Source organism: Homo sapiens, chromosome 1, assembly GCF_000001405.40.
Source record: "Homo sapiens chromosome 1, GRCh38.p14 Primary Assembly".
Taxonomy (NCBI): Eukaryota; Metazoa; Chordata; class Mammalia; order Primates; family Hominidae; genus Homo; species Homo sapiens.
Window position 1 is genome coordinate 111,598,992 of NC_000001.11, and position 24,580 is coordinate 111,623,571.

Below are 24,580 nucleotides of genomic sequence, written 5' to 3' on the forward strand. Positions count from 1 at the left end.
TATATTATAAAGGATATTACCAAGCATACAGATGATGAGGTGTATAGGGTGAAAAAGGGGCACAGAGCTTCCATGCCCTCTGGACATGCCACTCTCTAGGAGCCTCCAGATATTCAGCTATCCAGAGGCTCCCTGAACCCTATTCTTTTGTGTTTTTATGGAGGCTTCATTACATAGGCATGATTCATTATTTTTATTTATTTTATTTGTCTTTTTTTGTTGTTGTTTTTTTGAGATGGAGTCTGGCTCTGTCACCCAGGCTGGAGTGCAGTGGTGTAATCTCGGCTCACTGTAACCTCTGCCTCCCGGGTTCAAGTGATTCTCCTGCTTCAGCCTCCTGAGTAGCTGGGACTACAGGCGCATGCCACCGCATCCAGCTAATTTTTTGTATTTTTAGTAGAGATGGAGTTTCACCGTGTTAGCCAGGATGGTCTCCATCTCCTGACCTCGTGATCCACCTGCCTCAGCCTCCCAAAGTGCTAGGATTACAGGCGTGAGCCACCACGCCTGGCCACATGATTAATTAAAACACTGGCCATTGGTGATCAATTTGAGCTTCGGCCCTTCTCTTCTCCCCAGATGTTGGGGGTGGGCTGAAAGTCTCAACCCTCTAATTATGACTTGGTCTTTCCAGTGACCAGGCCCCATCCTGAAGCTACCAAGGGGCTGTGAGCCACTAGCCAATTACTAACACATAAAAAGACAGCACTTTGGAGATTCTAAGAGTTTTAGGAGTTGTATGTCAGGAAGAGGGGTTGAAGACTGACATGGTTTGGATGTTTGTCCCCCCCAAGTCTCATGTTGAAATGTAATCCCCAGTGTTGGAGGTGGGGTCTGGTGGGAGGTGATTGGATCACGGGGGCGGCAGGGGGATCCCTCATGAATGACTCAGCACCATTCCCTTGGTGATGAGTGAACTCTCACTCAGTTAGTTCTGCCTCGTGAGATAAGGTTTTTTTTTAAAGTGTGCGGCACTGTCCCCTTCTCTCTTGCTCCCTCTCTTGCCATGTGATGCGCTGGCTTCCTCTTCACCTTCCAAGATGATTGTAAGCTTCCTGAGGCCCTCACCAGAAGCAGATGCCGGCACCATGCTTTGTGTATAGCCTGCAGAACCACAAGCCAAAATAAAACATCTTTTTAAAAAAGTTACTCAGCCTCAGGTGTTTATAGCAACACAAGAACAGACTAACACAAAGACCAAATATGTGTTTCACAATGTCACACACAGTATTTCCATTCCTCTCTAAACCCCTCTTCTTTCAGCTCACATTGCAGAGGCCTCGCCTGGCCTAATGCCTTGGCCAGTCAGGACTGGTAATCACAACAGCTTGAAAAACAAACTAGATATTCTACCATCTCTAGAAGTTCAAGAACCAAGTCTCTGATCTTAGAGAGTTTCCCTTAAGTGTAAATGGATATTCTTCTGCCTGTGATAGAGGCTAGCAAGCCTCCTCTTCCAGCCAGTGCTACAAGAGGTAGGGAGTGGCCACACGCCAGGCAGCAAGGCTGTTTGTCTTCTCCTAGCCTCCCCTCTCCAGCGTTCTGCCTGAAGAATGAAATCAATTAGAGAGCATCAAGAGCAGGAGAGCTCTTTCCCCATTCCCTTTGAAATTCCTTGTTAGGACACTGCTTTGTAGATGGCCCCGCACCACCATGTTTAAGAGGGCAGAGCAGTGTGGGGAGGGCACCAGGGGACCTGGTCTGAGAACCACTGGTGCCATTTACAGAGAAGAAACCAGAAGAAGCAAGGAATCTGAAAGACTCCTTTATCCCAAAGTCAAAAATTAAGCCTAAAGAAACTGCTTAAATAATTGTATCAGACTAGTTTTAAAATCTATTGAGCTAAAATTATTTTTTTCTCTCTTGCTACCCAGCAGGTGAGGGCTCATAAGGGAGATCAGGGTGATTAAGAGAAAAAAGAAACTATACATTCTTTATGCATGTGAGCGGAGTGAGTAATTTTGCAACCCTGTTTACACATGAAGGGTAGGCAGATGTGAGTTTCAGCAGTCAAAATCAGAAGCTGAGGTTGCTGCATCTGGCTTACTCCCCTCTCCATAACAGCAGAATGTGGGATTTCCAAGACCTTTCTTGAGGGCCTGGTCTCTCCTCAGTGAGGTCCACATACTTATATTTAGACCATGTAAGAACGCATTCATTAACCTCGATGACAATGTTCAGTGTGGGTAAACCACCTGCTTCTCTTTGGTGAGGCCGGTGATCACCGTGGGATCTTTTGTATCCAAGAAGTTGAATTTCAGCCACTCTCTAATTTCAACCACACCGATTGTCCTGGGTGTCCAGGACAATGACCATACCAGAGAGTGGTAACCCACTGCTGAGAAAGGAGATCCTTGTCTATGATCACCCCTCACTCCTAACACAAGAGGAAGATGCCAAAGACCAGCTGAGGAGAAGGAAAGGGAGGAATAAAGCTATGTAATGACTAAGGAGGACTAAGAGATTTTACTGAATAGACTTATCTAGCAGGTTAACGTGAATGGGGGTAAAGGGATTTGGTGCTTTCTGTGGCTGAAGGTTGCTATTACTCTAGAAATGGAAAATGAGAAAAATATCTCCTTCTCCAAGTAGAGAAACAAACACTCAGGAAAAAACTCACCCTTCCTGTCTATGTACCATCTTCCCTGATGACAGGTAGCAGAAAGTATAGTTGAGAGGTGCCCAGGTTTGAAAGTTCAAATCCCAGTTCTGCCATTTCTCTCCTGTGTAACCTTGGACAAGTTTCTTAGCCTTTTTGTGCCTTTCATTTGTAAAAAAGAGAAAATAATAATACCTTCCTCATGGGATCGCTGGAGGGTTAAATGACACATAAAGCCTAAAGTACAGCTCCTGGCATGTGATAAGCCCTCAATAAATATGGCTATTATTATTTTTATAACAAGGGTAAGAGGAATATGATTTCAAAGGTCCATCTAGTTTAAGGCATGTGTAAATTTACTGACAAGTGATTCAGGGTAAACTTTAATTGAATTTTCAATAAACAAGCCATAGGGTTTCTTCCTCCACAGTCTATGACCCTTCACCAGGACCTGCATCCCACACCCTGGAAAGAAATGTGTTCATTCAGTGAATTAGATCCTTTAGCCAAACAGCGTTTGCAAACAACTGCTTGGCATCCTGACCCTTTCTGTCACTGAGGGTGTTCTAATAACCATGTTGGGTAAGAAGACAGTACCCACCTGTGGTCCCTTTCTTCTTGTAGGTTATGTTCAGGATCAAGTCAGTCTTCATTTGAAATCGGCACTTCAGCAGGATAACAGGAAAGAAAGAGGATTTTGGAGTCAGGAAGCTCTGGCTTTTAAATTTTGGTCTCATGGTTTCCTAATTGCAAGAGCCAAATAGTTATCTTTAAAAATGGGGATAATAATATCTACATAGTAGGGGCTTGTAATGGAGGATTAAATTAAACTATTTATATATAGTGACCAATATAGAGTTGGCACTCATTAAATGTCAGTTTCTCTTCCTCTTTCCCCTTTTCCTGCTGAGACACAGAGTTAGACTACTCTGTGGGGTGGGACATTCATCAGGTGGTGTGTTGGTTTATTTTTCTCCCACTTTTCTGAAGCAAGAGATCATGAAGATGATGGGAGGAAACAAACATCTACTGCTCTAACCTTTTCAACCTAGTGAACATTGTTCATCCTTCTCTTCTGCCACTTAAAAAAATAATCAAAGTCCAGCTGACACAGAGTTATTTAGCTACTCTGGCCATTTTTATCAACCTAGAAATAAGTATCCTGTTTATTTCTATTAAAGGTGGATACAAATAAGACCTCAGGAAAATCTACCCCAGTATCTACACGTTATGCCCCTTTCCAAAGTTGAAGGGATATACCTAACACCCAAGGGGGCAGGGCAAGTGAAGTGTGTGGTCAGGCGTGGCCATGGCACTGTGATGCATCATTATCAAGGGAGGACATAGTGTAAGTCCTGCCAGCTCTTTCCAATCCAATCACCTCTCCTTATAGTAATTCACAATCACAGAGCCCTTCTTCCCCTCTTAGATTCCCATTCAAGCACCCAACCATCAAACTCACTGAGGCTTCACCCTACTTCCCCACCTACCCCATTCTCTTCAACTGCCAGAGGGCTTTCCTGAGATGAAGCAGAGGCTGAGAACCTGGGGCCCTTGGACGAGAGACTTAGCTACTGACACATACAAGTGCTGACACTGGAAAGTACCAGTGCTGAATCAAAAAGCCACTTCCCAGAGACGACATGAATGTTCAAGGTTTGGTTCCTGGAACGCCACCGATCTGGTCCTGAACCTTGAAGCCAACATCTTACCTCTGTCCTTCCATGCCTCAGTTGCCCAGTATGTGGGAAGGGTAATGACAACAAAGGAAAATTGCCACCTATCGCCCAACCTGTCATCACTATAATTTGAATGACTTGGCCAACCTTAGAATGCTGTGGAAATTAGTTTACTGGGGACTCTGAGATGAAAGGTGCCAAGTTTGGCAGAGCTGAAGCCATTGGTAGGATGTTCTGGGGTGCACTGAAGATTCAACAGAATGTTCCTTTAGCTTGTAAATTGAACTTTCATTTTTGTCAAAGTAGAAAATTTTAGGTAACAAATATTTCATTTTTTCCTTTGTAAAATGTTTTCTTCTCTCCCTTCCCAAGTTCGGGGCATGACCAGTTGTGTTGGAATACGAAACCCACTCCTCCCAGTTAAAATGTTCACAATTGCAGTTTAAAAAATGACGAACATCTTTTAGATTATTTTTCATACCATGCCTACTAAGGGGGTACTATCTAGCTTTTAAAAAAACTTCCTTCTCTTTTTAACAAAACAAAAAAAATTTGCAGGATTGCAACTCTGTGAGATCCTGCCCAACTTTGACCCTGAAAGCTGTCTTTGCCTCCAGCTACATTTTCAGATGACCTTCATTTCAGACTCATTTTAGAAATGTAGACATTTTGCTCCTGGGCCACTTACTCTTTGCCTCTCTGCTTAAACTTCAAGAGTATAAAAGGAAAAGTTTGCAAAGATCATTTACAATGTGCCATCCCAAACCTCTCATGTAAGTGATGCAAAGCAGGCTCCAGTGGGCCTTGGTGTCTCTGATGAGAGGAGCAACGTGAATGCGGAGGAAGTGGGTAAGTGAGAAGAGGCCCTGAGGCTGCGGTGGTGACTCTACCAGCAAAGTCAGCACCTACAGACTGATGAAGGCAGCAAATGGGCTTGTGTAGTGCTCCACAGTGAAGCTGCCCTATCTGTGAGCATCAGGAGAGCTGACAAGCCAAGTTTCTGCACACTGTGCACTGCTAAATGCTGTCAGTGACACAGGCATGCTTTAAAGTCAGGCGACTGTTTCTTGCAGGACTAAAGCCTCTGCCTCACTCTCACCTGCTCAATGCTTCCCCTCACTGCCATGCTTTGATCCAAATTCTTCTTGTGAGGGGACTCCCCATTACATTCTGCTTTTTTCTACTTTAACTTAATTCCCAGTGGCAGGATGTCCACAGTTCAGCTTATACCCTTAAAATATAAAAACAAAACAAAAAAGTCATCATTATCATCAAAATAATTTTTAAAAACAGTTCCCCACCCCTGACAATTTTGGCTTGGATTTCTTTATAATGCTACAGCTTCTACCCACTTCTTACCTTGTATTTTCATTTATCTTCTTTGGTGCCCTTTTCCTTGTTCTTCCTTTTGGGCCAATCTATTGACAGCCACCCTGCAAAATGGCAAGGAGGTGAATTTCCTTTCTTATAAATTCATCCTCAAAATAATTGCATGATTAAAACAGTTGTGGGCCCTCTATCAAGAGTAATCAGCAATGTGCTTTGAAGCCTGGGGTCTGCTGACTCTCTGATGGCACCTGGGACCATGTTTATCTCCATTTATATGATTCGGCCACCACTCTGCCTCACTGGGTTCCCTGATGTTAGATTGCTTTGAGGTCTTTTGGGAGAGGAAGATCTACCACCAGAGCTTCAAGTTAGTGTGACAATTCTCCATTGAACTCAGACAAGAGACTGACATGGTTTCTTGCCAGGCAGCAATTAGTGACTACAGGACTGAAGTGGTTTCCAAGATTCAGGATTTGCCTAGTAGTTGTAAGAGGTAACAGCCAACAGGAGAAGAGGAGACCCAAACCCAGACTATGCTGTGAAGTGCAGGGCATGACTGGTATTCTAAGGAAGGTAGTTTCCACATTTTTGTGGCTTGTGAATCACTTTGGCAGGATAAAATTTCCCAAGGGCCAATTTACCCGACCGATTACCACTTGCCAATGCAAAACCAAATAAACGTACATATGTTTATTGGGAAGAAAACCAAAGCTTTGGAGAGGACAGGGACAATGTCTTTGGATCCCCAGGGCCTAATGGTCTCAAAAAATATTCACTGAGGTCATCTGATTCCTCTGAGAGGCTAAGCATACATAATTTTCCAATCATTTTGGTCTTCGTACTATATTCAGAGAGTGAATCTCTGTGTTAAGTACAACCAGGTGATGGACAATGGGTGGACTGAATTTTTCATTTTTATCAAGCATGGTATGGAAGAAGCAGCAGTAGCCTGACCTTCTCAACTGCTTGGAATTCATGGATTAATTTACTGATGATTTGTTAAAGATGTTTCTGTCTTGGTAGGTGAAGAAAGGAGGAACTAAAGTGGTCACCCAAAAAGCCAGAAATCCAAACACTGTTACAGGCCAAAGTCTTGGCCTAAGAACAAAGAAAATTAGGCAATAGGATTGGGCTGTGCCTTGCTGAAGTCATGTCAGCAGTCTCCTGGGCCACAGCTTTGGCTTGCTCAGATGCAATTTGTTCAGGCAGTGCAGCTGGGGGCAGCAGGGCTTCAGCTACAAAAGTGTTGGCTGGTAAGAGAAAATCAAAATAATCCCCATTAAGTTCCCATTATCTTAAAAATGAGAAACTCTAATGAGAGGCTTCCAGAGCAAGCTGAGCAGCAGGAGGGCACCTCTGATGGATGCTGTCCTCTGTAAGGATGTCACTGTCGTCACCAGGGGCAAGCTGAGGGCCCAAATGCCTCTGCGCAGTTTCCCTGGAAGCAGCCAAGATTGATTAGGCACCCCAGGACTCAGGAGCCATAAGAAAAGACAGAGAAGCAGGCCAGAAGCAAGGCTGGCATGGAAGGAGACCCTTGACCTGAAGGGTGATCATCTTTAACCCTGAATTCTGTTAACTGTTTCTCAGAAACTCTCTCTGAATCTATTTAACTTTTATAGTCCTGGATTCTTTTAGGTGTGGTGTTGCCTAAAGACAGGTAAAATGCCCCCTAAGGGAATTCCTCACCTCTATGGTTCTAAAACTGGGTTCTCGTCATATTTCAGGATGAGGAACCTTTAAAAAAAAAATGCCTTCATTCTCAGAGCACGAAGAACCTTTTATAAGAAGAAGGTAGCTGGAGAATGCTTATTCTCCTGGCAAATAGCAACTGTGGAAACACTATTTTCATATAGACCTGGCAAACAGCTTCCAGTATTTTCTGTCCAAATACTACATCTCCTCACCAGCTTTGCATGTATCTTGGCACTGCACGGCCCAGTAGTACCACATCATTTCATGGCACTGAGCCAAGAGTGTGCCCAGCCGTGCTTAGCACCATACAGGGAGTCTGCAGGGCCCTCCAAGCTCCCACCACCACACTCCTACTGGAGCAGAAGGGGAGATTATCAGGCAGCAAGTCACGGTGTTGTTATTATTACCCTGATGTGTAATAAATCTGTGTGGTGCAATAAATTAAGGCAAGGCTCTGTTCTCACTTTACAGGCTGCCGATAGTTTTATTGTAACAGCTCAAAGATGTGAGTTTTCCTTTTTAGGCAGAGTAGAGGAAGCTGTGAAATTTGAAGAGAGAACAAAAGCATACTCGAATGTAGTTTGTAAAACAGGTATTGTACAAGAACTGGCTCATCAGGACATCCAGCACCTAATGTTTTTCTATTTAATGATATTAGAGAACAGTGAGGCCTTACAATGGCCACAAGAGTTCATTTGAATTCATTTTCTTTTATTTATTTATTTATTTATTTATTTATTTATTTTTATTGATTATTCTTGGGTGTTTCTCGCAGAGGGGGATTTGGCAGGGTCATAGGACAATAGTGGAGGGAAGGTCAGCAGATAAACAAGTGAACAAAGGTCTCTGGTTTTCCTAGGCAGAGGACCCTGCGGCCTTCCGCAGTGTTTGTGTCCCTGGGTACTTGAGATTAGGGAGTGGTGATGACTCTTAACGAGCATGCTGCCTTCAAGCATCTGTTTAACAAAGCACATCTTGCACTGCCCTTAATCCATTTAACCCTGAGTGGACACAGCACATGATTCAGAGAGCACAGGGTTGGGGGTAAGGTCACAGATCAACAGGATAAGAATTTTTCTTAGTACAGAACAAAATGAAAAGTCTCCCATGTCTACCTCTTTCTACACAGACACGGCAACCATCCGATTTCTCAATCTTTCCCCCACCTTTCCCCACTTTCTATTCCACAAAACCGCCATTGTCATCATGGCCCGTTCTCAATGAGCTGTTGGGTACACCTCCCAGACGGGGCGGCTGGCCGGGCAGAGGGGCTCCTCACTTCCCAGTAGGGGCGGCTGGGCAGAGGCGCCCCTCACCTCCCGGACAGGGTGGCTGGCCGGGCGGGGGGCTGACCCCGCCACGTCCCTCCCGGACGGGGCGGCTGGCCGGGCGGCGGGCTGACCCCCCCACCTCCCTCCCGGACGGGGCGGCTGGCCGGGCAGAGGGGCTCCTCACTTCCCAGTAGGGGCGGCTGGGCAGAGGCGCCCCTCACCTCCCGGACGGGGCGGCTGGCCGGGCGGGGGGCTGACCCCCCCACCTCCCTCCCGGACGGGGCGGCTGGCCGGGCGGGGCCTGACCCCCCCCACCTCCCTCCCGGACGGGGCGGCTGGCCGGGCAGAGGGGCTCCTCACTTCCCAGTAGAGGCGGCAGGGCAGAGGCGCCCCTCACCTCCCGGACGGGGCAGCTGGCCGGGCGGGGGGGCTGACCCCCACCTCCCTCCCGGACGGGGCGGCTGGCCTGGCGGGGGCTGACCCCCACCTCCCTCCCGGACGGGGTGGTTGCTGGGCGGAGACGCTCCTCACTTCCCAGACGGGGTGACTGCCGGGCGGAGGGGCTCCTCACTTTTCAGACGGGGCGGCTGCGAGGCGGAGGGTCTCCTCACTTCTCAGACGGGGCGGCCGGGCAGAGACGCTCCTCACCTCCCAGACGGGGTCGCGGCCGGGTAGAGGCGCTCCTCACATCCCAGGCGGGGCGGCGGGGCAGAGGCTCTCCCCACATCTCAGACGATGGGCGGCCGGGCAGAGACGCTCCTCACTTCCTAGATGGGATGGCGACCGGGAAGAGGCGCTCGTCACTTCCTAGATGGGATGGCGGCCGGGCAGAGACGCTCCTCACTTTCCAGACTGGGCAGCCAGGCAGAGGGGCTCCTCACGTCCCAGGCGATGGGCGGCCAGGCAGAGACGCTCCTCACTTCCCAGACGGGGTGGCGGCCGGGCAGAGGCTGCAATCTCGGCACTTAGGGAGGCCAAGGCAGGCGGCTGGGAGGTGGAGGTTGTAGCCAGCCGAGATCACGCCACTGCACTCCAGCCTGGGCACCATTGAGCACTGAGTGAACCAGACTCCGTCTGCAATCCCCGCACCCCGGGAGGCCGAGGCTGGCGGATCACTCGCGGCTAGGAGCTGGAGACCAGCCCGGCCAACACAGCGAAACCCCGTCTCCACCAAAAAAATACGAAAAGCAGTGAGGCGTGGCGTCGCGCGCCTGCAATTGCAGGCACTCCGCAGGCTGAGGCAGGAGAACCAGGCAGGGAGGCTGCAGTGAGCCGAGATGGCAGCAGTACAGTCCAGCTTCGGCTCGGCATCGGGAGAGGGAGAGGGAGAGGGAGTGAATTCATTTTCATATCAATGTCTCACTGCTGAGTTCTGCTGAGCTGACCTCTTGCACTAGACTTACAGTGCTTTCTTTTGGTGATAAACCTGAGCGATTTTAAGATCACAAATTGGTTCTGGAACTCATTAAAGTCAGCAAATGAGCATTAAAAGATACTTGCACAGGCTGAGTTTGTGCTAATCTGTCTATTTAGGCAATTACAGCTCAGAGGATGAACAGAGGGGCGGTGAGAAAGAACCCTCCAACTCCCAGCAAGATGATCCATTTCAGATGTCTGTCAACGATGCACATGCCCTGGCTTTTCTTCCTTTACACCTTGAACCCTGGGTGCAGGAGGCAAGGGAAGGATTTGAGAATGCTTCACCTCTACCCTTTGCCAGGTTCAAAGCCCAAGTGAGACCTTCAATCAGGTCCCTGGCACACCTGACACTTCATTATTATTATTTTTTTTAATCAAAAGCCCACTTCTTTGGTAGCAAATGCTATTTCTATTCTCTGTTTTAGAACTTGACCCTTACTTTTTTTTACTTAAATGTTAGTCATTCAAGATTTCTTAACCCTTTGGTTACAGAGTCTTCCATCTTTTTCTTCTGTCTTCATCTAGGCTCATAGGTTATTTCTCCCTAAACTAGACACACTGGGTGCTGGTGCTCCGCTCTGTGTCATTGTGGCCCCTGAACAATGGGAGGCTATTGAGCACAGAGTTGATATTCAATATGTAAATATTGATTGACTTTTTTTTGTTTTTTGAGATGGAGTCTTGCTCTGTTGCCAAGGCTGGAGTGCAGTGGCATGCTCTCGGCTCACTGCAACCTCCGCCTCCTGAGTTCAAGTGATTCTCCTGCCTCAGCCTCCTGAGTAGCTGGGATTACAGGCACGCACCACCATACCCGGCTAATTTTTGTATTTTTAGTAGAGATGGGTTTCACCTTGTTGGCCAGGCTGGGTTTCACCATGTTGGCCAGGCTGGTCTCAAAATCCTGACCTCATGTGATCCTCCTAAAGTGCTGGGATCACAGGCATGAGCCACCACATCTGGCCTGATTGACTTTCAAAATTGCCTTCTAGTTTATTCTGTAACCACCAGCTCTACTAATTTAGTTTAACATCATTCACGTACTGCTCTGAAAAACTATACGCCCCTTATGACCTTACAGCCAAAAATGATTGACTCCCTTGGTAATCCTCCTTGCAAAACCCTAAGACTCACCCCCTCACTCTTCCTTAGAAAAATACTATATTCCTTTGCTTGAGTCTCATTTATTAGCAGCAAATGCTAACACAGGAAACTTCATTCTCTGAGTTTACATATTCTTGTGAATTCTATTTTTCTCTCTTATTTTTCCCCTAATACAGTCTACCCCTGGCCAATCTATAACAATCCTAATCAGTAGAAACTCTGGAAAAACTGAGGTCATAATTTCTGAATCTGGTTTGAATTTGGAATTTGCTCCCTCAGCTCAAAATTAATATTGTAAATTTACTGCAAATGTGTTTTCTACTTTTCGGACTCAGCTAGTAGTTTTATACACAAAGTTTGCTATCTGGCTTAACTAGTTACTGAAAGAAAAAGGACATCTCCAGCTCCTTTTCTGGCCTTTCTCCTATTCCACTACTTCCCTCCACCCAACACACACACACACACACACACACACACACACACACACACACACACACCCAACACCAGTCACTGAAGATGGGGAAGATGGAGTTCTTCCTTGAATTCCCCTTAGGTTGTATCATTGTTTGGAAGTTATTGGTTCTTATCCAAAAGCAGACGTGGACAGAGTAAGGAGTTTTAGCTCAGCCATATAAAGTAGCATAAGCCCCAGGCTTTAATCTTCCTGTAAGGCTGCACTGGTATATAGTCGTTCTTCTACTGAATATAACAGATCCATATTAACAAGCATTTATTGAGTGCTTACTTTGAAAACCAGTACTCTATTGTCCCTCATATTATCTCATTTAATTTAATTGTTGCTCTTTAAGGTAGTATTCCCATTTTATAAATGCGAAAGCAAATATTCAGAAAGTGACTTGTACTGAATGGAAGAAACATATTTTTTTTTTATTCCAAGCCCATTGCCCTTTCTTCTTGTTTGATTTTTAACTTTGTGATAATAGAGCTCTATTACAAGAACTGGAACTGTCTGTACAGTTGGTTATTCTTAAATGATCTACACAGAGTGCAGAAGTCCTATTACGACAAATCCTATTACAACAAATCCACTGTAACAAAACCTCTTTCTAAGAAAATCCCATTCTAGAGCTGTCATTGGCTCCTAACTTTTATCTAGTAAACATTCAAGGAATATTTTGTAAAAGTTTGCCCAAATTTCTCACTGGAAATTTTGTGCTTAGGATGGCTTCAAAATTGGGTTCAAGTATCAGGCACTAAGGGAAGGAACAGGAAACCTGATGATATTGTACAATGTTTGGTGTGTATTCCTTTATACCATAAATAGTGAGTCTAAAAGTTGTGTTAGCTCAGTTTGTTGTAAAGTGACAGTACCATGGAAATAGAAGGGAATAAAAAGCTCCACTTCAGATTTTTTTAAAGTTACTTGAATCATAATGTCAATTTAAAAAAAGTAATTTGCTTAATGAATAACGGTTTATCTTTCCTATAAAAATAGCTAATAGTTTTTGAGCACTTATGCTGTATCAGTTAACATTGTAAATTTTTAAATGTATTATTTAACCTTCACAACAACCCTGTGAAGTAAATGTTATCCTAATTTTACGCACAAGGGAACTGAAGCTCAGAACGGTTAAATAATTTGCCCAAGGTTACACACACAGCTGGTAAGAAGCAGGATCAGAATTTGAACTCACGCTGTGTGACTCCAGAGCCTACATGTTTAACCACACTTAGGGTTGCCAGATAAAATATAGTTACACTGGATTTTTGGGTAAACAAATCCTAAATATTTCATGGAACATATTTTTACTAAAAGCACATTTTTTGTTTATCTAAATTCAAATTCAACTGGGGATCCTCTATTTTTATTTGCTAAATCTAGCAACCCTAACCACACTATTCTGCCTTCTGTAAATTCAGATATCCATATATTTGGGTTGTTTAATTTGCAGTTTACACGTGCTTGAGTTTTTTTTTTTTTTTTACAGAATAAATGATGTTAATTCACATCTACAAAACTAGGCTTCTGGATTTCTCTTTCCCTCCATTTATTGAAGGGCGGGTTGGTCTGATGCCAGTCTTCTCCCTGATAGTGAAGCTAAGTGCAAGCTTTTCTCTTCTGATAAAAAAAGACTTCACTTACTGTTGGCACATTCTGGCCTTCTGCCTACACTGGGCTCTCTCTCCAGTGGCCAGCTGTGTCTTGCCTGGTGCTCATCATTATCCAACTTCCTTGCCTCAGGAATCCTTGACTCTTTCCAAGATTTGCAGAGGTGCATGGCTAAGTAGCAGCTTCCTTCCAGACAACAGTGTTCACAGAAGGAAAGAGAAAAGAATCAGTGGGCTAGAACTTAGAAGAACTTTATATATAAAGTCTGTTGAATAAAACATATAAATAGGCAATATATACACCACCAAATGAACAACTCTTGTTTCTCCATGGGTATCTTCCACTCTGATTTAGCTCTCTCACAATGCACAATATGCACCTGCCTGTATACCTTCTTTCACCACTCGGATCACCTAAGCTGAAAATATAGAAACTGTTTTCAATGGCCATCAAGAAACCAACTGTATTGCCGCTCAAATCACACAATGCATTAAAAAACAAATATAAAAGCCTTTGGAGTTGGCTGATCTTTATCATCTTTTAACAATGTGAATAACCGAAAAGTAATTGTCTATTTACAAACCTGGATGTTTATAGAATTACCTCTATAGTCAAGATCTTTTAAATATTTCAAACAGCCTGAATTTCTATAACCCAAGAATAGAATAATAGTAATAGATATATTTATTATAACATAAAAATAACATTTTGTCAGTATGTGCCAGTCTCTATGAAGAGTATTGTCCATGCATTCTCTCTCTTAGTTTTTACCAAAGTACTACAAAATTTTGTACTCTTTTTAGTATCAGATGACAGACAAGAACACTGAGGCTACAAGAGGTTAAGTAATTTGTCCAAGGCTGAACAGCTAGTGGCAAAAGCTGCATTTAAAGCTATGTAGCCTCATTCCAGGGATCATATACTTAATTACTGCATAACAATACCTCTACATCATAAGATCAGTGGTAGATAGCGCTTTTTTGGTGAAAACGTAGGGTTTTTTTTTTTTTTAAGTTTTAAATCTGTTGCAAGCTCTTTTTCTTTTTCTTTTTCTTTTTTTTTGAGACGGAGTCTTGCTCTGTCACCCAGGCTGGAGTGCAGTGGCACTATCTCGGCCCACTGCAAGCTCCGCCTCCCAGGTTCACGCCATTCTCCTGCCTCAGCCTCCCGAGTAGCTGGGACTACAGGCGCCCGCCACCATGCCCGGCTAATGTTTTGTATTTTTAGTAGAGACGGGGTTTCACCGTGTTAGCTAGGATGGTCTCGATCTCCTGACCTCGTGATCCTCCCACCTTGGCCTCCCAAAGTGCTGGGATTACAGGCGTTAGCCACCACGCCCGGCCAGCTCTTTCATTTCAAAGGCATGAAGTGTTCTCTTTGTTAAATAGTAAAGAACATCTAGGAAGAGGAGAAGTTGGGCAGTAAGTGGCCAACATGATAGGATTAAATGAAACGCTATGTGACTAGTACATAGCTTATACCTCATGTAACCAACCATAAGACTTGGACAACACCTGGACTGGTCCATGCCCTGATTCACCTAGACGAGGCCACTAATCACTTGCTTGGATATCACAGCAATGTTAAGTTGCCAGAAAGGATTCTAAATGCTTACTCTCACTTTCTTTACTTATCTCAAGGTCAACTGGTCATTTTGTGGACCAGCATCAACAATCTATGGACCACATTTTGAGTGGCACTAATATAGATAACATCGGTTTAGTTAATTCAAGTATACAAATAACCAGTGAAGTATATGGCTCGCTTATATTCTCTCTCTCTACGAAACACACAGACACATGCTCCTGAATATTTATTCCCGAAACATTTACTAAGAACCTACTATATTCTTGTTACTTTTCTAGGCTCTGAGAATATAGTAATGAATAAAGCAAATCAAGTACCTGCTTTCAGGGAACTTAAAATTCTAATTCAACCAATGTCTTAATACCCAAACATCTGGGTACCAGTTTGAGGCCTTGCTAATTAATAGCTCTCCGCTTTTGTATAAATTCATTTAATCCTTCTAAGCAAGTCTTTCTCTTTACAAAATGAGACTAATAATACGTACTTTAATGTCATCATTGGTAGCATTAGATATTGTGAAAACTGTAAAATCACATACCAATGCCAGGTCACATTTTTATCATGGGCCCTTCCTGAGTGAAGGGATGGTATTTTTCCTGCCTTTGTATCCTTAGCAGGAAGCATAAGGGCTTGCTAAGTGGCAAGCTTAAAAATATATTTTCTAAACATTTATTAGATGGAAGCTTCTTTTTATTGATATGTATCACAATCTTCTTAAAGTCTTCAATTGGTCCTAGAAGTGTCTATGCTTTTCCTGTCAGTTCTAAGAATAATGGTGTTCTTTAGCATTACAACCTAGAACTGAATTGTAAAAGTGCCCTAAGTTTGGGGAGGAAGAAATTCTCAGCCAATAATAACATGAAAAGAAATGTACCTAGTCTGTTTCTCTTCAAACGTCTGAACTTCATGTTAGAAAAGTTGCTTCCAGGGTATAAAGACTTTCTTTTTGAGGGCTAGTGATGTTACTGTTAGAGTTAGACAGGGGTATGGATGCTCTACAGATTTCATGAAAGTGCATAACTACATTCAGTGGCTATTTGAAGAGTACCTTATTTTATAAGGTGCCCCTTATACTGCAAGGGACATTAGCATAATTAAAACACAGTGACTTGCAAGGAATAATATTTAGTAATGAGAATAAAATGAATACACAAAATGCACTATAAAGCAGCATATAAGTGCCATAGGTGTGGAATGAATAGGAACTATGGGACTTCAGAGGAGGGCTCCACTTAGGAGTTGCAATATGAGACAGGCCTTCAAGGATTTCAACAGATTTTAGGTTTGATAGAGGGAATGGAAGGCATTTGTTGCAGGCAGAGAGGTAACTTAATACGTTGACTCCTTTGTAAAAAGTTAGTAGGAGTTACAGCAAGTAGTTTGATATACATGTAAGGGTATAGTGAAAGGTAAGGCTAGAAAAGTGGGATGGAGATACACAATTGGGCAAGTGCCAGATTGAGCAGTTTGTACTAAATTTGATGGGGAACTACTGATAGTTTTTAAAATAGGGTGGAGTCATGATCTGGACAATGCTTCAGGAAGATGGTTTTGGCAAGAACACAAGACGGACTGAAGGGAAGGCAACCAAGCAGGAGACCAAACAGGAGATCACAGCAAAAGTCTCGACCTAGGTTAACCAATACCTGACCTAGGGTCGTGGCAATAGAGCTAGAGAGGTGGGGGCAGCTGGAAGGGCCATTGTGTAGAAAGTATAGTATTTATACCTGTGCAGTCCAATATAGCAGCTCCTAATTAAGGCTCTTTAAATGCAACTTTAATTAAAATTAAATAGGATTTAAAATTCAGGCCAGGCGTGGTGGCTCACGCCTGTAATCCCAGCACTTTGGGAGGCTGAGGCAGGCAGATCATGAGGTCAGGAGATTGAGACCATCCTGGCCAACATGGTGAAACCCCGCCTCTACTAAAAATAAAAAAATTAGCTGGCCGTGGTGGCCTGTGCCTGTAGTCCCAGCTACTCGGGAGGCTGAAGCAGGAGAATCGCTTGAACCTGGGAGGTGGAGGTTGCAGTGAGCCAAGACCGTGCCACTGCACTCCAGCCTGGTGACAGAGTGAGACTCTGTCTCAAAAAAAAAAAAAAAAAAAAAATTTACTTCCTCAGTTGCATTAGCTGCATTTAAAGTGCTCAATAGCCATATGTAACTCCTGTTTTGGACTATGCAGATAAAGAACATTTCCATCACAGTGCAATGTTTATTGAACAGTGCAGCTCACTATGCTTTAGGGACTAATTAGGCATAGAATGAGGAAGATGGATTAAAGGAGGCTTCGGTTTGGCAGCTGAGTGACTGAGAAAGGTAGTGCCATGAACAGAAAAGAGGAAGTCAGGAAGAGGAGGAGCTGGATTTAGGAAGAAAGGTGTTTAGTTTCTGTCAAATACTAGGCCAGATAAAGTGTCTACCCAAATCATCAGATATCCCTGGTGAAAGGAAAGGGCAGGGAAAGCAAAGTGCCCATTGGGTTCTCCCAAAGCTTGTAAAGGAGCCCTGGGAGGATTTAATTGGTTTATCTCCTCCTGCACTCAGTTTCTCCTGTTTGTGCAGCTCCCTGAAGATTATGAGTGGGCAATCCAGTTCCTCAACCTCTCCAAACCAATGGTTCACATATACCGTGATGAGGACAGAAGCCCAAGGGCTTTGCTGTTTCCTTAGCTCCTTGGAGCCAGCTTGAACCTTTTTCTCACAGATGCTTTGTGCTTCCTGTCCCCTAACCGCCTTACTCACCCTTCCCCATGCTCAACTTTTGGAAAGTCCCCTTGGCCTCACTTGTTTGATTACTTCCTCTCAAACTACTTCTCACAGGGACCACAGCAAACCATTGACTCTACCACTTTTTACTTGCCCTGTCTTCCCTCCCAGCTTAAATTCCAAGGTCTATCACTATAATCACTCCCTTACATAATACTCCTACCCCTCTCATAGGCTTTCCCCAGCAAAACTCAGACCTGGTCAAATACAATTCTCCTCCAACCCCCAAGCAATGGAGTGTGGCTGGAGGAGAATCACACGGCCTTGCTGAGTGGTCTCACTTTAATGTATGATCATCAACTCAAGAGGGCCCTCAGCACTGTCCATGCTAAGCTTCTCTAGTCACTTTTCCACTCTTCAAGGAGATTATTTCTCACCTTCTTCTATCTCCTTTAATAGCCAACAGCTTTTCATTGCATAGAGAACAGATCTTACCTCATCAATCCCAGTGAGGCAGCCAGTACATATGGCACTCAGTGGAAACTGGGAAAAGGTCCATACGTGTGTGTGTGGGTATGCATGTGTGTGTATGCGCATGTGTGTGTGTTTGCGCATGTGTGTGTGTTATATGCAGGATGCTAACATGCACCACCTCTCCTGGTGGAGCAATCAGAAAAGTACCCCTTCCTCCAGGCTGATGTGACCCCACCAGGGCACGTGGCTTTGTGGGCAAAACAAGGGCTACATTTCAGCTCCTACCTGCCGCCTCTGCTCTACAGGGGCCTGAGCGTGCCACAACCAAATGTACTGTCTAATCTATCTGCTTCTGCACCCAGACACTCTACCTTCTCTCCAGAAACAGTGTGTGAATGCATTCCCTTACTCCTATCCTAGGCCAACCCTTTCACTTCTGTGCTAGATCCAATTGCTTCTCACCTATTTGAGGACACTCTTTCTCCAGTTGTCTCCTCTTGCCTTCTGTGTCATCAATTTTACCTCTCTTACAGAGTCTCGCTCTGTTGCCCAGGCTGGAGTGCAGTGGCGCGATCTCGGCTCACTGCAAGTTCCGCCTTCCAGGTTCATGCCATTCTCCTGCCTCAGCCTCCTGAGTAGCTGGGACTACAGGCGCCTGCCACCACGCCTGGCTAATTTTTTTTGTATTTTTAGTAGAGATGGGGTTTCACCGTGTTAGCCAGGATGGTCTCGATCTCCTGACCTCGTGATCCACCCGCCTTGGCCTCCCAAAGTGCTGGGATTACAGGTGTGAGCCACCACGCCTGGCCCAATTTTACCTCTCTAAAGAATCATTCCAGCTGGGCGCAGTGGCTCACACCTGTAATCCCAACACTTTGGGAGGCCGAGGCGGGTGGATCACCTGAGGTTGGGAATTCGAGACCAGCCTGGCCAACGTGGAGAAACCCCGTCTCTAATAAAAACACAAAATTAGCCAGGTGTGGTGGCACATGACTGTAATCCCAGCTGCTTTGGAGGCTGAGACAGGAGAATCGCTCGAACCAGGGAGTTGGAGGTTGCAGTGAGCGGAGATCACACCACTGCACTCCAGCCTAGCAACAGAGCAAGACTCCGCCTCAAAAAAAAAAAAATCATTCCAGCATACTAAAATGAGAAAAAGCATTTCTCATCTTAAAATATCCTCCCTTGATCTCAAGTACCTCTCTGGCTACTGCCCTTTTCTCCTTCAAAGCAAAGCCTCTCAAGAGCTGTTTAGAACACTTTCTCTTCCTCACCTCCCATCCTATTAACATACCCTAATCAGACTTTCTCCCCTATGACTCCACTGAAACTGTTTTCATCAAGGTCATCAGCAACTTCATCAGGCCACATCCAGTGTTCAAATTCTCAGTCCTTATCTTACTAATTTCAGCAGTATCTGATAAGACTCTTCACTCTCTCCTTCCTGAAACAATTATCTTGTTTTCCAACGCTTCACCTTCTCTTGGTGTTTCTCCTGCCCTGACTGGTAGCGCCTCCTTTTCTACTTAACCTTCAAGTGTTGGAGTGCCTCTTGGTCCTTTCCTTCAGCTATCTCCCCTCCCCATGTGATCCTAACTAGACTTAAGACTTAAAAAGTATCTATTTGCTAATGAATCCCAAATGTATCTCTCTAGACTCATATATCGATTGTTTATTCAATATCTCCATTTGGATGTATAACAGACACCTTAAACATAACATGTGTAAGAAAAGACTCTTGATTTCCCCATCCCCAAATCTGCTCCTCCATTTCATTAAGTGGCACCGCCATTAACTCAGTCATCAGGCCCGAACCTAAGAATCAACTCTTGATTTCTTTTTGTTCTTTCACACACTATGCCCCAAATCCAAATCCATTCCAATCAAAATGTATCTAAATAAAATAAAATAAAATAAAATAGCCTTCTTCTCATCCTGTCCGTGGCTGCCAGGCTAGTTAGTCCAAGCTACCTTACTGGTATCCCAAGGACATCTGTGCTTCTCCATTGTGTATTTTACACACATCAGCAAGACTAACTTTTAACAACATGAATCAGATGCGGTCATTCCTCGGCTCACCCTTCTCTCATGGTTTCCCGTTCCTGTTATAATGGCCCACAGGCTTCACTGGATCTGGCCAAGCCTAGCTGGTACTGCTCTCGGGCTGGCTGACGCTGCTCAGCCATGCCGGCCTTTCACTGTTTCTGCAACATGGCAGGCGTATCCCCACCTCTGGGTTTATGGCTGATTTTCTCTCAGCTTGGAAAGGCTATTCCTCCTCCAGGCCCGCGTGTTTGCAAGACTTATTCCTTCATCCCGTGTGTATGCGCTCAAAGGTCTTCTTTGAGAGGCAGTATCTCACCAGGTGTAAAGTCACCCTATCCTCTGCTTTATTTTTCTCCACACCACTTATCACTACCTGCAATTTTTGTCACTTGTTTGTTGTCTGTCTCCCCTCTCTCACTCCACCAGCATGCAAGCTGCAAGAGGGTCTTTGCCTGTCTATGACTTTAAACCTCTGCGCTTAGTTAGAACAGCGCCTGGAACCTAACAGGTGCTCAATTAGGGCTTGTCGAATGATTGAGTTCCCTCCAAATTCTCTTCTTGAATCTTTGGACCCTTCCTCATCTTTTTTCCGGTCTTACCCACCTCCCATCCCGCCCTACGCAAAGCTAAAACTCCCCGCCCCTTCCCGGTAGCTCCAGGCTTTCCCGGCTCCAGTGTGCGCGGCTCCTTTAAGCGGACTCCGGAACGCCGTGGGGAAGGCGGGGCCGAAGCCCAGCCATCGCCAACTTGGAGGGGCGGGGCAGAACCAGGGGGCGGGGCCTGCGTGGTGCGTGCGTGCGCGTTCTGGAGGAGGCGCCGCCGCCGCTCCCGAGGCCCCTGCCGCCGCCGCTCCCGCTGCTGTCGCCGCGCAGAGCCGGAGCAGGAGCCACGGCCGAGAGGAGGGAGGAGGAGGAGGAGGAGGTGGAGGAGGTGGAGGAGGTGGAGGAGGCGCCGGACCGGGGGGGTGAGTAAGGGGCGGGGAGCTCCAGACGGCCCCAGAGGGAGCGGGGGGCGCGGGTCGGCCGAGCCGAGGGTGAGGCGGCTCATGTCGCCGGTCAGTCGCCTGGCTCCCCCTTCCTCCTCCGCGTTCCATCGGTGTCGGGGCGGCGGCCCGGGGGCCTGGCCGGCGGGAGGGGCCGGAGATCTGGGAGGCCCGGCCGCCGCCAGGGCCAGAGCCAACCACGCCCGCGGACCGACCCGGTCGACTGTAGGCCTGCGGGAGACCGTCGGGAGGGGCCCCGGCCGGCTGTGGGAGAGAAAGAGGACATTGTGTCCCCCACCCTTCAGCTCCCCGAGGTGTCATAGCACAAGCCCATTTCCCTCGCCGTCTCCCCAGACACGGTGCCCTCGTACCTCACTGCCTGAGAGAAGTAGAAGGTTGGACATCGCTGCCTTCCTCCTCTTGCATGTCCCCTGTCTAGGGTCAGAGCTTCCTTCAAACCCAGCTCTCCCTTTTGGGCCCGCGGGGGCGGGGGGGAGGGACACACGGGGAACGGGGTTGGAGGGTTGGGTGAATTCTCTGTCCTCTGCTGTAGGAGTGCGGGTAGACTGGAGCATTGCTGTCTCCGGGCTCACTTCTGTCAGGGTTCAGGGTCTCCCTTTCCTTCCTTTATTCCCCCAGTTAATAGGGCTGACATCTACATCCCACTCCACCTTCCAGCCCCTTTCCCGCCTTCTTTACCCTCATGTCTTCCGTAGCTTACCATGTGTTCGCCTTTTCAGTGTTACTTTTCATGGGTCTCTGCTTCTTCCCTGAATTTTGTTAGGGAAGAGGTCACGGTGTGATTCTTGTTATCCTTCAAACTAGCGGCTTGGTAAGAGTATCTCTTGCCCCCTTAATCAGGAAGTTAAGGACGGTGTCTTCAGCCGAGTTGTGTAATTTACTGCTACGGGGAGAAGATGAGAGGAAGACATTTGTGCCTACAAAATGGGATCTCCTCTTAGGGCTGAGAACCAGAGTTTAGGGAACCTTTGACCTCTTGGAAAAAGAACTGCCATTGAGGAGTAATGCATTCTGTTTTGGGAGGGAAAATCATTTTGTTACTTCTTTGAAGGGAGGAGGTATAAGAAATGAAATAGAATAATAGAGCAGAAGGTCAATGAGCCACAGCCCTACAGGTAGCCAGCCACTCTTCTTAGGTGGCGGATGATGTTTTTGTTTTGATTACAGTAAGAATAAAGTATCAGCTCTTAGATTTAACTTGGGGCTCCTACCTTCAAAAGCATGAAGGGCCGTCTCAGAAGAGATGCTGCTGGAAACAGGATTTGGAAACTTTCTTTGGGTTTCCTGTCAGAATGTGTGGGGGTGGACATGCCTATGTGTAGTTTTTCTTTCCTTGTGATGTAATTTATTTCTGTGATACTTTGACATAATAAGCATTAAATTAGGCCCCAGACTTTCTGTCTTTATTATGCTTTCCTATAACATTGTTGTTTTGAAATCATATAGTTCGATATTCTTTTGTAGCGTGATATTTCAGTGAATCCTGTCTAGTTTTCTTGGTGTTTTAAATTATGGCCTACTTCAGATACGATTAGCTGTTAGGTATTGAGGATCATACGTGTTAAGTATTTGTTGAATGAATTGAATGATTACAAAGATGAGTCTAGTTATTAAATCTTCTGTCCTTTTGAGAGGTACCCTATATTAGGATACTGCAGTCCATTTCCAGTTTGTAAGATAGTAATTCTTAACCTTTTCTAGGCCACTGACACCTTTGAGAATATGATGAAATATATAAACTCTCTCCCCAGAATAAAGTTAATAGGCATTTATTCACAAAATTTTGCATTAGTTTTAGGGACCCTCTGAGGCCAACCATGAACTTATGTCTTAGAAGTGAACTGGATGGAATCCCTCAGTGTTACACAGTTCCATATTAAAACAGCTCAAAAGCCTTTGTTCACTTTTTGTATGGCTTCAAGAAGGACAGTATCTACACTTAATATACCCCAGAAGACAGGTATATTCATATACGTTGTTCCTGTAGTCCTTCTGAAAATGAATCCCAAGGAAATATTCCAAAAGAAAGAAAATGTTGTATATGCACATGTTCATTTAATTATTTTAATAGATGGGAAGAAAAGGAAACTACTTGCCCAACAGCAGAAAGATACACAATTTTGCAATCACTGAAAAAGGTTAGAAGTGAAGATTATTAATCTCCTAATTGATCTTCCAGCTTCCACTCTTGCCCCTCCACCCCAAGTTGATTTCCACACAGCAGCTACAATGATGCTCACAAACTTCAGAACAAGTCTCTCTTCTATTCAAAACCCTCCAGTGTTTTCCCATCTCATTCACAGTAGAATCCAAAGTTCTTACCATGGCCTACAAGCCTTACAGCTGCCCAGCTATTTCCCTAATCTCAAGCCCCTTTACTTTTCCTCTTGCTTACTGTACTCCAGCCACACTGGCCTCCTACATCCCAAAAAGGTCAAATACACTGAGGTGTCTGCACTTAATGTCCTCTCTGCCTGTAACCTTTTTCCCCAAGGCAGTATATATCCCTCACTTCTTCAGGTCTCTGCACCAGTCTCAGGTCTTCCCTTACTACCCTTCCCTGCCACTGTTTCTATCCTCTCACCCTACCTTATACTCTTAAGACTAGGTTATACTGATTTTGACAGCCACAGTTGTTGACAAACATTCCATGGTAATGTCGCTTGTATACTTGCATTGGACATTATTGTTTAACATTTAAAAAATAATGTCAGTCATAAAAAGATAACTTTCAGATTGTTAAGTTGAATTTTTCAATAGCTCACATTTAAATTTTGGATGTTAGCTTACCTCTCTTCAACATTTAACTACAGGATGCTAATTGTTGGATACAGAGATGAATTAGACAGGGTCTCTGCCCTCAGGGAGTTTCACAGTCTGTCATTGTTTGTATTGTAATAGTTAAGTTACTCCAGATCTTGCCAGTGTTTAGTTTTACCCATGAACTTTAGTGTATGGTTGATGATATTTTATATAAAATAGGGATTAGACATCCAGATTTTCATGTTGGTAATTGTTTTTTTTCCTTACAAAGGGATATGTTTAAAAATTAAATTTTTTTTGAGACGGAGTCTTGCTCTGTCATCCAGCCTGGTGTGCAGTGGTGCAATCTTGGCTCACTGCAACCTCTGCCTCCTGGGTTCAAGCGATTCTCCTGTCTCAGCCTCCCCAGTAGCTGGGATAACAGGTACCCACCACCACGCCCAGATAATTTTTTTTTTTTTTAATCGTTAGTAGAGACGAGGTTTCCCCATGTTGGCCAGGCTGATCTCAAACTCCTGACCTCAAGTGATCCAGCCACCTTGGCCTCCAAAAGTGTTGGGATTACAGGTGTGAGCTACTGTGGCTGGCAACAAAGGAATTTTTAATGGTATCTGTAATTTGTTTAATTTCTGTTTTGTATGATGCTTTTAGAATATTATAGCTGTGACCGCCCCATGTTTTGTTCTTTGAGACAGAGTCTTGCTCTGTCACCCAGGCTGGAGTACAGTGATGTGATCTTGGCTCACTGCAACCTCTGCCTCCGAGGTTCAAGGGATTCTCCTGCCTTAGCCTCCTGAGTAACTGGGATTACAGGCACGTGCCACCACACCCGGCT

General features: G+C 45.1%; 1 protein-coding gene and 2 long non-coding RNA genes across 8 annotated transcripts in view, besides 7 other annotated features; 1 reads left to right on the forward strand and 2 right to left on the reverse strand.

Moving 5' to 3' along the window:
- Nucleotides 1-24,580, forward strand: part of RAP1A (RAP1A, member of RAS oncogene family) — a 174,683-nt gene that overhangs the window by 56,983 nt on the left and 93,120 nt on the right. For 4 of the 6 annotated variants that reach the window (NM_001394066.1, NM_001010935.3, NM_001370217.2 and 1 more), the window contains exon 1: nucleotides 20,798-20,943. The exons of 1 other annotated variant lie outside the window; for it this stretch is intronic. The gene's annotated coding sequence lies outside the window, so the exon portion shown is untranslated. Of the gene's footprint in view, nucleotides 1-20,797; nucleotides 21,357-24,580 lie in introns of those variants that run through there. One more of the 6 variants, NM_001291896.3, reaches the window with a different exon arrangement.
- LINC01160 (long intergenic non-protein coding RNA 1160) lies at nucleotides 16-9,327 on the reverse strand. Its single transcript, NR_034126.1, has 5 exons — nucleotides 9,145-9,327; nucleotides 5,638-5,711; nucleotides 5,378-5,509; nucleotides 3,201-3,264; nucleotides 16-1,104 (listed from the first exon to the last, which is right to left on the reverse strand). It is a non-coding gene; the product is annotated as a long intergenic non-protein coding RNA 1160 (long non-coding RNA).
- Nucleotides 1,041-1,150: an enhancer, noted in NCBI's record as "active region_1505". NCBI's record gives its function as "activates an Ori minimal core promoter by ATAC-STARR-seq in GM12878 lymphoblastoid cells {active_cell/tissue: GM12878}" and the evidence as "EXISTENCE:reporter gene assay evidence [ECO:0000049][PMID:35858748]".
- Nucleotides 1,471-1,590: an enhancer, noted in NCBI's record as "active region_1506". NCBI's record gives its function as "activates an Ori minimal core promoter by ATAC-STARR-seq in GM12878 lymphoblastoid cells {active_cell/tissue: GM12878}" and the evidence as "EXISTENCE:reporter gene assay evidence [ECO:0000049][PMID:35858748]".
- Nucleotides 9,166-9,859: an enhancer, noted in NCBI's record as "H3K27ac hESC enhancer chr1:112150779-112151472 (GRCh37/hg19 assembly coordinates)". NCBI's record gives its function as "activates a minimal SCP1, AML or CMV promoter by ChIP-STARR-seq in primed H9 embryonic stem cells {active_cell/tissue: H9 hESC(primed)}" and the evidence as "EXISTENCE:reporter gene assay evidence [ECO:0000049][PMID:30033119]".
- On the reverse strand, nucleotides 18,620-21,407 carry LOC107985184 (uncharacterized). Its single transcript, NR_160737.1, has 2 exons — nucleotides 21,333-21,407; nucleotides 18,620-21,225 (listed from the first exon to the last, which is right to left on the reverse strand). It is a non-coding gene; the product is annotated as an uncharacterized LOC107985184 (long non-coding RNA).
- Nucleotides 20,536-20,830: an enhancer, noted in NCBI's record as "tiled region #155; HepG2 Activating non-DNase unmatched - State 1:Tss, and K562 Activating non-DNase unmatched - State 1:Tss". NCBI's record gives its function as "activates a minimal TATA promoter and a strong SV40 promoter by Sharpr-MPRA in HepG2 and K562 cells {active_cell/tissue: HepG2 | K562}" and the evidence as "EXISTENCE:reporter gene assay evidence [ECO:0000049][PMID:27701403]".
- Nucleotides 20,536-21,300: a biological region, named in NCBI's record as "Sharpr-MPRA regulatory region 155".
- Nucleotides 20,621-21,300: a silencer, noted in NCBI's record as "silent region_1185". NCBI's record gives its function as "represses an Ori minimal core promoter by ATAC-STARR-seq in GM12878 lymphoblastoid cells {active_cell/tissue: GM12878}" and the evidence as "EXISTENCE:reporter gene assay evidence [ECO:0000049][PMID:35858748]".
- Nucleotides 21,351-21,480: a silencer, noted in NCBI's record as "silent region_1186". NCBI's record gives its function as "represses an Ori minimal core promoter by ATAC-STARR-seq in GM12878 lymphoblastoid cells {active_cell/tissue: GM12878}" and the evidence as "EXISTENCE:reporter gene assay evidence [ECO:0000049][PMID:35858748]".